Source organism: Homo sapiens, chromosome 4, assembly GCF_000001405.40.
Source record: "Homo sapiens chromosome 4, GRCh38.p14 Primary Assembly".
In the NCBI taxonomy this organism is placed as follows: Eukaryota; Metazoa; Chordata; class Mammalia; order Primates; family Hominidae; genus Homo; species Homo sapiens.
Window position 1 is genome coordinate 189,730,419 of NC_000004.12, and position 13,662 is coordinate 189,744,080.

Below are 13,662 nucleotides of genomic sequence, written 5' to 3' on the forward strand. Positions count from 1 at the left end.
CCAGGCCTGTCTTGCCCAAAACACTGCTCGTACAACCCTTTATTGTGCATGCATGCAGCCTCACTGAAGCTTCTACTGGAAGAAACAGAAAAACTACCACATAACAGGAAGACAGGGTAAAAAAAAAAGTGCTCCTGGTGGAATACATTAAGTTGCTAGTGATAATTAACCTTGTTATTAAAAGCCACAGTAATTATTACACAAAAATAATGTAACCATGCAAAGTAACAAATCAAATGGACATGTTTGTAAAAATGAGGATTGAGGAAGATTTTTTCTTACTGAACTGCATAAAAGATGTTGCATTTGAAGCATCAGAAAGTGTTTCTCCACCAACAGCATCTCCAAAAAGTCAGAAATCTGACGAATACCATTCCCTTAAAGAACGAGACACTTTGCATGATTGCCTTTTACAGCCCTCACTGAGGCTGGAGACTTCCACAACTGAATCAAAAGAGATGGCTCAACTGTGCCAGGGAAAGGGAACTTTTGCCCTCTGATTCACTTAAAAGGCAGAATGACGGACAAGCCGACCTGCTCAGCCTGCAGGTGAGGGAGGGAATCCGAGCCGCTGGCACAGAGAGGAAAACCACACTGTTAGGTGTCCCGTTTACTTCATGTGCTCGCACCAGGGTGAGGACAGCAGGCCTCACCCCAAAACGCAGAAATGCTGGCATACTGTTCCCCTAAAAAGGAGCTGAAGAGGACATGATACAAACAGCACCTGCCACGTAACCCTCAAAAACATGAGGAAAATTACATGACACTTGTCAGTCCTTTTTGTTGATTCAAATATCTGTGGATTGATTACTAAATTTGTTGACTAATCCCTCAGGTAGTAAACAAGTCATGAAAACCTGAAGGCTATTATACAGCCTTTCCCACATTTTCAAATGTGTCCTGACCTCGACCAGGAATATTCTAGGGTCCGAAAGGGTGATTTATGTGATTCTATAAAGTGACATAATGAGACTGGCTATTAGCATATGTTCAAATACGTTCAAAGCCAGAACCTGGACATGCGATGTAGTGTTTAGGGCCTAACGAAGTAGACCCGATTGATCTTTCACACTTTCGAGAAGCAGGCAGGCGGCTCAGGGCAGGTAAGCAGCTCCGCTGCATGAAGTCATCTGGGGCTCTGATACCCTTGACATTGCACTGGCTTTCCTCGGGATGTTCTAATCATCCATGCCGTCGATACTGACTCCCCACCACACCCATGCTTAATCCTATGAGAAGAGAAACCGAGCCCCAAATCCCTCCTTTTAAGGGCCTTTCACTGCTGGGGGACTTAGATACATGGTCCAGCTTTTTCACTGGGGAAGCTGGGATATGCAGTCTCCAGCAGGCAGCCATATGCCCAACCAAAGCTCAGGAGAATGGGGCTTCTGAGTTTAAGACAGACAGAGGGAAGGGGCAGCAGAGGACAGTTAATGTTGCCATGCCTGCCTTAGCAAAGCAGTTGTGTGTTTCTCCTTAGCACAGAAGGCTATGTGCTTTGAAATGATTGGATTTTCAAAGTCATTTGACCATTTACTAACTCCTCTCCATCACTTCCTGTGCATTCTATAATTTCTCACCCTATCCCATTTTCCCAAACTCTTCCTCTGCATCCTGCTCGTATATATCAGCTCCCTAAATCCTCTCTTGCATACTGTAGTTCCTCTTTAAAAATTCTCTTCACCCCTAGCTATCAGCGAGCATGACTTTCCCAGCCTCCTTCTCCACGGGAATGTTTTTCCTCCCATATTGCACATAAGCCATGGCCTGCAGGTGGGGCAAGCACGCCCTTACTCCCACTGCTGTATTCACACGGTATCTCCTCCTTTCTCCTCCAAAAGCCTCCAGCTCCTTTGGAGCACACGCCATCTGACTAGACCACCTGCGTTTCCCTGCCATCTTCAGACCCCCCACGTTCTTTCCTTCATCCACCACGGACTTCAGCGGCTGGCTCCATCTTCATCTCTACCTACCCTTGTTACCATTTTCAGTGACTTCAGCTTGCGCGTAGATAATCCACTGAGCAGTGAGCTCTCAGATCCTTAGCTTTCTCTCCCACGACACTCTTTCCTCCACCATCCCATGAGACCCAGCCCCACGACCACACCTTAGCCCTTGCCATATAACAATAAATGCCCCACCCCATAAGACTGATACTGGCTGGGTGCAGTGGCTCACACTGTAATCCAAGCCCCTAGGGTGGGTGGATTGTCTGAGCTCAGGAGTCAGAGACCAGCCTGGGCAACATGGCAAAACCCCATCTGTACCCGAAATACAAAAAATTACCCAGGCGTGGTGGCAGGTGCCTGTGGTCCCAGCTACTCGGGAGGCTGAGGTAGGAGAATTGCTTGAGCCTGGGAAGCAGAGGTTGCAGTGAGCTGAGATTGTGTCCCTGCACTCCAGCCTGGATGACAGAGTGAGACTCTGTCTCAAAATAATAATAATAATATTAAAAAGACTGATGTTAACATCTCATTCTCCTACTAAGCCTTATCTTTCCAGCTCACTTACTCTGTGCTGCCTACTCCAACCATTTTCAACATTGTAAACCACAAATCCATTGACCTTAAAATGTTTTTATTATCTATCATCCCCTCCTGGTCTTACTTTGAACTTTCCCACTTTGGGGTCCAGGGCCCATCATTATAATCACGTTATTCAATTTGATAAACTATAACCACAAACTTTGTTTCCATTGAATTCACACAGCAAAGCAATAACCTATTCAGACCAACTATTCACCTACTCAGCGCTGTTAATAAAAGATCATGAAATCTGCAGAGGAAAAAGGAAGAGCTTTGTTGTCTATAAAACAGTTAAAAAAAAAAAAAAAAAAAAAAAACAACTCCCGCAGACATTTCTTCAGAAGCACAAATGAAAGTGTGTGCACCGAAGAACAAAGGAAGGGTTTATGGCTCAAATAGGAAAAGTTTTCTCCCAGGTTCTCTGTCACGTCTGTTTATGCAAATGTAGGATTCACGTGTGTTCAGTTCTTATTGGTTGAGATAGCCAAGCCTTGACTGGGTGGCTTCCCATCCCAACATTAAAAGTGTCTTTGTCAGGTGTTTTCTTTTAAAATGGCCAATGGGGTGGAGATGAGGAGTCTAGCCACTGTTTTTCTTGGCTCTGGTCACAGAAAGCACATGAAGTACGATGTTTGTGAAGAGATGGTTCTCCTCTCACTGCCCCTTATGGCCACTTGAATCTGTTATCTAAATTTGGGTGTCTCCATTAGTCACCGAGAGCCGATTTCCTCCGGAGAGCTTGAGGTCCCATTTACAATTCTATTTCACTGCACCATCAGCCAGCAGCTGAAGAAAATCACAAAGCCATAGTGACTGTCCACACTCTAAACTCAAGGTCACAAATCTGAAACACATACTTATCACCGTCCAGAGGTTGTGCTACACTTCCCTTGTAAACAAAACTCCAGTATTCAAGACATCCAAGTATTTCACACTTTCTTTATGCTCCTGAAGCCTCCAATATTTCTTCTTCTTCCTTCTCTATCGAGAAGAGATAGAGGAACTCCATCTCCCCTCCACCAACTCCAACCTTCCAGGAGGATGGAAGCAACGTCAAGGTGTTCCCATTCCTGTCTCAAGGCAACACCTCCCCCAGCACTCGGGACCTCACCAGCTCTCAAGGTGCACAGGCTTTGCTTCAGCTGTTTTCCGCTCTCTCCTCTGCACCATCATAATGTCATCCACACAAGAGAATTCTCACCAACACACTAACCAACTCCAAGATATCCTTCCCTCTGAAACCCTGCCCTGAGCCAGTGTCTTTCTAGCTCTTTTCCTCATTTCCACTCCCTTGAATTTCATTCTCTTCCTTCCATTCTTGTCAGTGTCCTTCCCCACCACTCCCATAAAGCTCCTTTTATCATCGCCACCAGTGGCCTTCATGTTTCCGAATATGGTGATTCATTTTCTTTCTTTCTGCCAAATATGGTGATTCGTTTTCTTTCAGCAGCATCCGGCAGACCTGAGAATGCTTGTTGAGGCATTTCCTTCTATCAGCTTCCCTGCCACCTTCTCCAGTCAATCCCCTTGCTTCTCTGGCTACTCCTCGGTCTTCTCTGAGGGCTTTGGCTTCTCTGCCAGACTTCTAAACCCTGATGTTTGTCCTGGGCCTTCTCCCTTCTCTATCTATCCTCCCTATCTCCACTTAAGCTAAGTTGGGTCACGCTTTCAAATACTATCATCCCTAAGTGTATGACTTCCAAATTTATATTTTCTAGTCCTGACTAGCCATAGATTCCTAATAAGCCTCTGAAACTTAACACATCCAAAACATTCAATCCAAGAAAATAGAACTATCCACCCAGTTGCTTCAGCCAAAAGTCTAGAAGTCCCATTCTTTCCCCCTCACTTCCCACAATCAGCTCACCAGCTGAATCTGCCCTCTTCTCTCTCACACCATTGCACCACCCAGTCCAACTCATGAACCATTTCCTCAAGTACTGTAATGACTTCTTAACTGTTTCTGTTCTTGCCCACTTATAATCCCTTTTCCACAGAGGAAACACAATAATCTATTTTAGGTATAAATAAAAGCATGTCATTCTTTGGTTAAGCCTTCCAGTAGCTTCCCATTCCTCTTGGATAAAATTCAAACTCCTTACTATGTTCCACAGAGCCCTGTATTATCTGGCTCTTGTTTATCTTTCTATTTTTATCTCCTGCCACACTCTGCCTGGCTTACCGCATCTGCGTCACATTGACCTTCTGTGAGTATTTCAAATGCTCTTTATTCCTCACCACACTCCAAGCTCTTCTCTTTGCCTGTTCCTCACCACACTCCAAGCTTCTCTCCAAGCCTGTTCCTCACCACACTCCAAGCTTCTCTCCTTGCCTGTTCCTCACCACACTCCAAGCTCCTCTCCTTGCCTGTTCCTCACCACACTCCAAGCTTCTCTCCTTGCCTGTTCCTCGCCACACTCCAAGCTCCTCTCCTTGCCTGTTCCTCACCACACTCCAAGCTTCTCTCCTTGCCTGTTCCTCACCACACTCCAAGCTTCTCTCCTGCCTGTTCCTCACCACACTCCAAGCTTCTCTCCTGCCTGTTCCTCACCACACTCCAAGCTTCTCTCCTGCCTGTTCCTCACCACACTCCAAGCTTCTCTCCTGCCTGTTCCTCACCACACTCCAAGCTTCTCTCCTGCCTGTTCCTCACCACACTCCAAGCTCCTCTCCAAGCCTGTTCCTCACCACACTCCAAGCTTCTCTCCTCCCTGTTCCTCACCACACTCCAAGTTTCTCTCCTGCCTGTTCCTCACCACACTCCAAGCTTCTCTCCTGCCTGTTCCTCACCACACTCCAAGCTTCTCTCCAAGCCTGTTCCTCACCACACTCCAAGCTCCTCTCCTTGCCTGTTCCTCACCACACTCCAAGCTCCTCTCCTTGCCTGTTCCTCACCACACTCCAAGCTTCTCTCCAAGCCTGTTCCTCACCACACTCCAAGCTTCTCTCCTGCCTGTTCCTCACCACACTCCAAGCTCCTCTCCTTGCCTGTTCCTCACCACACTCCAAGCTCCTCTCCTTGCCTGTTCCTCACCACACTCCAAGCTTCCCTCCTTGCCTGTTCCTCACCACACTCCAAGCTTCCCTCCTTGCCTGTTCCTCACCACACTCCAAGCTTCTCTCCAAGCCTGTTCCTCACCACACTCCAAGCTTCTCTCCAAGCCTGTTCCTCACCACACTCCAAGCTTCTCTCCAAGCCTGTTCCTCACCACACTCCAAGCTTCTCTCCAAGCCTGTTCCTCACCACACTCCAAGCTTCTCTCCAAGCCTGTTCCTCACCACACTCCAAGCTTCTCTCCAAGCCTGTTCCTCACCACACTCCAAGCTCCTCTCCTTGCCTGTTCCTCACCACACTCCAAGCTTCTCTCCTGCCTGTTCCTCACCACACTCCAAGCTCCTCTCCAAGCCTGTTCCTCACCACACTCCAAGCTCCTCTCCTTGCCTGTTCCTCCATCTGAAATGCTGTTCCCCTAGACCTTTATATCTGTCTCCTCCATGTTTAACAATTTTATGGATTTTTATTTGGAATTCACATTAATATTGATGACATTAAAGTACATATAAATTCATATCCATATTGTATTTAGATCAATGATGGGTTTATATAAATGTAAATTTTAGTTCCAACAATTTGGGTCATCCGTGAATACAAGTATGTTTAATATAAAATGTATTTTAATATAAAAAAGCTATTGATAATGTCATATAGATTGGAAATTTTAAACTCTATTGATGAACATTGAGTCTCTTTTCACTTAAATGTTATATTGCATAAATCAAACACTTTGTCAAAACAAAGCAATAAATGAACAGACAGGTAGGTGATAATTTCTGGCAATGACAAAGCTATGTAAAAATCTAACAGTGTAAAGTGATGTGGCAGGTATGCGAAGGCGTCTAATTTAAGTAAAATCAGCAAGGAGGATCTCAGAAGAGATGGCGCTGGAGTCATGTTCTCAAGTAGAGATGAGCATGTTTTGAAATGATATGGTCAGAGCCTCACGTGATTTGAATACTATTTCTTACATATCTACTGGTGAGTTTCAGAGGCAAACAAGAACTTGAATGAGAGTACATTAGAAAACTAATTATATTTCAAGAATATTTTACAAATGGTTTGAGGTAGGCTTAGTGATATGGTTTGGCTGTGTTCCCACCCAATTCTCACCTTGAATTGTAATAATCCCTGCACATTAGCCACCTGGCGGGGCCAGGTGGAGATAATTGAATCATGGAGGCCGTTTCCTCCCATACTGTTCCCGTGGTAGTGAATAAGTCTCATGAGATCTGTTGGTTTTATAGAGGGGAATTTCCCTGCACAAGCTCTCTGTTGCCTGCTGCCATGTAAGATGTGTCCTTCTTCCTCTTCACTTTCTGCCATGATTGTGAGGCCTCCCCAGCCATGTGGAACTGTGAGCCAATTAAACCTCCTTCCTTTGTAAATTACCCAGTCCCAGGTATGTCTTTATTAGCAGCACGAGAACAGACTAATACACTTAGCTTACGTACAAATTATAATAATTATAATAACTTGTACCTAAGCTAAGCCTGCCTCAAACCATTCTTGAAATATGATTGTCCACTTTCCAATTCAAAAAGTACCAAATTTCTTAGATTAATACATTTTTAAAATGCCTAAATAAGGAAGGGTTTTCAAACAGAAGGCTTCCCATTTAGGTTTCTGCTGCTTCTTGTCCTATAGTATTTAAACACCACCATCCAGGACATCCAAGAAACGGTGGTTCCTTCTTAAGACAAAGGACCATTCATCTTTATCTTTCTATAGTATTGCACACCTCTGGCATATAATAAGCATTCAAAAACCATTTGATCAACCAATCAATCAATCTTTTATCCTCCAATGTCAAGCTAAGTCAGTTTCTAACATGTAGAAAACACTAAATCAATGTGTTTGTTGAGTTAGCATGTTATGAATACATCATTCATCTAAATCCCTGAGTTTTGGAGGCAGGAAAATCAGAAGGATGCTGGCATTGGAGATGGGCAAGTCTGGAGTCAAGGGAGCCCCAGCCCCACTCTGCAGTATCTATTTGGACTTAAACAAGTCCAGTAACCTTTCTGCATTTCAGACACTTCATCTGTTACAAAAGGATTATAGCTTTCAAGGTGCCGCGAGGGGTTGAAAGACAATGTGTGGAGCTCCCAACAAAGTGTGTGGCCCAGGGTAAGCCCAAGAATCATAAAAGTCGATGTGATGATGGTGTTATTATTAAGTGCCTTGTACATGTTTATGCCTTGGGTGCCCACGAATACAATTAGTAATGACTATTTTCATCATTGTGGGCACCAAGAGGCTTTCTGAGGTTTTTTTCCAAGCAGAACAGAACCAAGAACTAATTATTATACTCCAAACCCTTATTCTTAGTCTCAAGACTAAGCAGCACATGCCATGAGAGTTAGAGTCCTCCCTCCAGCTAGGAGCCTCTGCTAGGAAGCAGGCCAGTGAGCTATCCATAAAAGCACAACCTCTGCTAGAGAACAGTAAGCTGCAGACAGGTTTTATATGTGGCTATTCTTCTCAGACCAGAAGAGACATTCTGTTGGCATTTTCATCTAACAGTATAAAGTTACAATACAAATATAAGGGTAGTTGTTATTGGATAACACTTTAACAGCATTTTCTTTTTAAATCTCTGTATAGAGAGGATTTCTATTAACATATAACAGGCCAAAAACCTGAGCATCATCCTGAGCATCATTCTTTCTCTCACGCCCTGCCTCCAATCCCTCAGAAAATGTGATTGTCCTACTTTCAAGATCTACCCAAATCTGGCTTTTCTCACCACCTCCAATGCTACAACCTGGTTGGAGTCACCATCATCTTTCACTGGGAGGTTGCACAAGCCTCTCACAGACTCCACTGTTTCTACCCCTGACCCCTGCAGTCTACTCTGAGCACAGCAGTCAGAAGCATTCTTTTGAGACTTCCTTTTAGACACACTTCTGCCCAGCACCCTGCAATCGCTTTCCACTTCTGAGCTGGTGGGCTCTGAGGCCATCCGTGGTCTGGACCCAATACCAGTCCAACCTCCCCTCTGAAAGCTCCACCCTCCCTCACTGCTGCAGCCATGCCAGACTCCATGCTCATCCATGGATGCAAGAGGCAAGCACCTGTCTCATGATCCTTGCTCTATCTGCTCTCCATTTGGAAGTCTCTTCTCTCAGATAGCCATGATCTATTTCTTTATCTTTTTCAAATTTTGGCTCAAGCTTCTTCTTTTCAGGGGGTCTACCCACTGCTCTGATCACCCCGCTTAACCCTGAAACCTCCCTCACCCAGACACACACAGCACAGCACTCTGCACTCTCATCACTCTGTCCTACTGTTCTCCATAATTCTGTTCACTTTTACCACTCTGTACTGCCCACTTTATTGTGTTTATTGTTGACTACCTGCCCCTCCCTGTGAAAAACAAGCACCTTGAGGATGGAGATCTTTGTCTCTTTTGTTCACTGATTTGCTGAAGCACAGAAAACTTATGAGCAGTGCTTGGCTCATAGCAGGTACTCAGGAAATACTGAATCAGTGAATATAAACTAAGAAGACAATGATGCCTTACCATGAGTGGAAAGATGCCCATCATGTGGGAAGCAAGCAAATCTTTATGTGTGCAAAATCAGGGCTTTGCCACCTGTTTAGAGCAACCATTTCTTCCTCTGCTTAGAGGCATCAACAGGATATGAGCAGGTGTTTAGTAGAGAATATAATCAGTTTAGTTTTTCAGAGCAGATGATACAAAAATATTCTTCTCACACAGATTATGAGATATTGAGCCTAACGGTTTTGAAATTTAGGAAAAGTTAATATGAATGAGAGAAAAATAACCAAAAAGAAATAGCAATTATTCCTTACTAATGTTATTTTTCTGTCTGCAAAGTAAACATAGTAAAAGAAATTTTTCACTTTAAGTTATGAAAGTTGACACTATTATCTATAATTTTTACATGTGCCTCTATTATATGTCCTCTAGCCTTTCACTAAACTAGACCCATTGTAATCTGCTATTATTTGTACTTATTTTACCTATAATTTGGAAATAAGGTGATTAGCATATTTTTCCTTAAATTTTATTCCTGGTCTCAAAGACTTTTTCGACATAGTCATTAACTCTAAGACTAAACAAAAGTGAATAGCTAAAGAAAAGGTTATACTGGGCTGGAAAGCTACAGGTTGAAGGCCAGTTTGGCCCACATTTTTTTTTTTTTTATAAAGATGATTGAAACAGCCATGCCCATTCACCTGCCTCTTGTCCATGGCTGCTTTCTAACTGGCAGAGTTGAGTATTTGTGACAGAGACCATATGGCCACAGAGCCAAAAATATTTACTCTCTGTCCCTTTACAGAAAACGTTTGCTGACCTTTATGAGGCAGTCGATCTTCCTCCTACTGGCTTTTCACATGTTGCTGTGTGTCTGTGTGAGGTCATTTATTGAGCACCAAATGTGCCAAATATGCATCATGACTATGCGTCTAGCACAAGACGGTGACGATCGCAAACATGTCATGATAGTTGCCGAAGGTGCTGTGGACAAACATCACTCCCTTCCCTCCACGTTAGAGACAAGATGGGAAAGAGAAGTGGGGAGAAATTGTTCATATCCACAAAAAGACGTCCTTCACTAAAGAGCACTGGCTCAGCCCTTGAATGCTGAGAAACTAAAAACAGAGAAAGGTTAAGGACACAGGAAACAGGGATGACGAATAGCTCCTTACATTTTCTAATAACTCAGGGTATTGCAGGTGGCCAGAGCCAACCCAAATCATCACATCCAAACATGGGACAAGGCAAAACCTGAAACTGTTAAGAGACATGCAGCGTCAGTTTGATTCCCGCTGCGGACGAGGGGCAGCCTGCACATGCTGAGGATGGACCCCGACCCTCCTGTTGCTAGCAGGCTGAGGGCAATGCCATCTCTATGCTACCTTGTGTCAGGTCACCACAGTGTCCCCAGCATCTGAATGCTGAGTGCAACCAAGGCTTTAGTTCAGCAACGTGAAACACCAGCTGCACTCCACACCCCGGCACCCCCACGCTGCATCCCACACCCCGGCACCCCCACGCTGCACTCCACACCCCGGCACTCACACGCCGCACTCCACACCCCGGCACCCCCACGCTGCACTCCACACCCCGCCTCTCACACGCTGCATCCCACACCCCGGCACCCCCACGCTGCACTCCACACCCCGGCACTCCCACGCTGCATCCCACCCTAGGAAAGCACAAGGAAATCATGTGAGCACCACAGGGGCCAATTTGTGCTGCATCTTCTCCAGCATTCCAGTCAACAGACACTGAGCAGTAGACAGGAAAGAATTCCTCAAGCTGAGTTCAACAGGAATCCCTTCCTTGAGAATATGTACCAGACCACAGGATTATTTTAGAAAGCATTAATCCTAGGAACATGTACTTGGGGTGATTCCTAACAGACTAGGAGTTATAAATAGAGCACAGACATATTTGGTCTATAAATAAAATTCTTTTAACTGATGTTTTATTGTGGTAAGATATACATGACTAAAATGTGCCATTTTAATGATTTTCAAATGTACAACTCAGTGGCATTAAATTCATTCCCATTGTTGTGCAGCCATCACCAATATCCACTCCAGCACTTTTCATCATCCCACACTGAAACGCTGTACCTTTCAGGTAGGAGAGAAAAAACACCAGAGAGGAGACAGGACTAACGTGCAGCTCCCATTTAGACAAACAGATCAGCGTCTGGAGATTCACATTGTGAACTTCTGTTCCAAGAACCAGTGTAGGGACATACTAGGGAGACTGAAAGAATTCACAGACCCTTTGAAAGAAGTGGCTTGCCACTGCAAATGCTGCAAGACAGCTGAAAAACTGTGAGTTCCCAAAGTGTGAGAGGCGAAAAAGTCTGCCTCTGAACACACATCCCCACTGGGGAACCTGAAAATTCAGATCACAGGAGAAGGCTTTAATCTTACCTAGAGCTGAAATGGATTTAGGAAGCCGAGCAAAATATAAAAGTAGAAGAAGCAGTGGGAAGAGCCCTGTAGGCACTCCCAGTCCCCAGCGAAGCCCAGGGAAGCCATTCCTGGCCTTATGTCACAGTCCTTGGGGAAGGGAGGGGAGCCAGTGAAATTGCAGAGGGGCCACAGGGTGACAGAAGCTCCTAGCTGAACTTTGTAATAATTTTGACTGAGCACAAACTTTCCTGAGTAGAATGGAGATGGTGGGTTGTGGGAGTGGGTGGCAAATGGGAAGCACAATAGAGCACAGAAGCTTGCAGCCAAAGGTGTGAGCAGGCAGAGAGGTGAAGCCTGAGAGCCCTGCTTGCTTTCTCAGTGGAATGGCTTGTAGCCTGGGGCAAGATCTCAGCCCTGCTCACTGGCTGCCAGGATATAAACTCAGTGCAGTTTGGGTGGCATACAGGAGACTGGCCCCACTGGCTGCATGAGAGCTGGGTGAGGCCTGTCACTGGCAGCTTTCCCCCACCTTCCCTGGCAACCAGAATGATGCAGCAAAGGCTCCATTGGCCTGAGAACCACCCCATAATCCCCCATAGTGGCTGAAGCAAGCCCTGCCCAAGGAGAGTCTGAGCTTAGACATGCCTAGCCCTGTCTTCAGCTGATGGTTTTTCTCTACCTGCCCTGGTAGCTGAAGACAAAAGACATAAACTCTTGGGAGCTCTATGTCCCTGCCCATCACCTGAGAAACCCGAGTACTTATCCTGGCCAACATAGGGCAAGATGGTAGCCCCCTTCTACAACTGTAGCTTGTGCTCTCTTGAGAGTGCCACCTCCTGGCTGGAGGCCAACCAACTGAAGCCATTACAGCAACTCATAAGAGAACAACCCTGCTCCATAGAAGGAGAAAACAACAGCTAATTCCACGGTCTGCAACATCCTGGCTAACCAGAGGTCCTGAGTCTGTCCATGTGAAAATTTCACTGCTAGCATAACCAGCATTTGAGAAAACCATCACATTACAACAACCAAAAAATCCCAGAGTTCACTTCACTCCCCTGCCACCTCCACCAGAGCAGGGGCTGTTATCCAGAATTGGGAGACCTGAAGACAAATCACAGCACAGGACTTTTTGCAGACATTCTGCAGCACCGGCCTGGAGCCCAGTAGCCCCACTGGGTGTCTAGACCCAGAAGGGCATTAGCAATCACTGCAATCTGGCTCTCAAGAAGCCCTATCCCTAGAGGAAGGGGGAGGGCACACATCAAGAGAGCACCACCACGTGGGACAAGAGAATCTGAATAGCAGCCCTTGAGTTCCAGATCTTTCCACTGAAACAGTCTACCCAAATGAAAAGAAACCAAAAAAGTAATTCTGGTAATATGACAAAACAAGTTGTATAGTACCGCCAAAAGATCACACTAGCTCTCCAGCTGTGGATCCAAACCAAGAAGAAATCTCTGAATTGCCAAAAAAAAAAAAAAAAAAAAAAAAAAAAAAAAAAAAAATTGGGAGGTTGGTTATTAAGCTATTCAAGGAGGCACCAGAATAAGGTGAAAACCAACTTCAAGAAATGTTGAAAACAATACAGTATATGGATGAAAAAGTCTCCAGAGAAACAGGTATCATAAAGCAAAGACAATCACAATTTCTGGAAATGAAAGACACACTTAGAAAAATATAAAATACACTGAAAAGTTTCAACAATAGAATAAAACAAGTAGAATAAAGAACTTCAGAGCTCAATGACAAGGCTTTCAAATTAACTGAAAAAAAGAGACAAAGAAAAAAGAATTTTAAAAAATTAACAGACTCCAAGAAATTTGGGGTTTTGTTAAATAACCAAGCATAAGAATAATTGGCATTCCTGAGGAAGAAAAGAAATCTAAATGTTTGGAAAACTTATTTGAGGGAATACTCAGGGAAAACTTCCCTGGCCTTGCTAGAGATCTAGACATCCAAATACAAGAAGCTCAAAGAACACCTGGGAAATTCATCACAAAAAGATCATCACCTATGCACATAGTCATCAGGTTATCTAAAGTTAAGATGAAAGAAATAATCTTAAGAGCTGTGAGGCAAAAGCAGCAGGTAACCTATAAAGAAAAAGCTATCAGATTGACAACAGATTCCTCAGCAGAAACCCTACAGGACAGAAGGGATGGGGTCCTATAT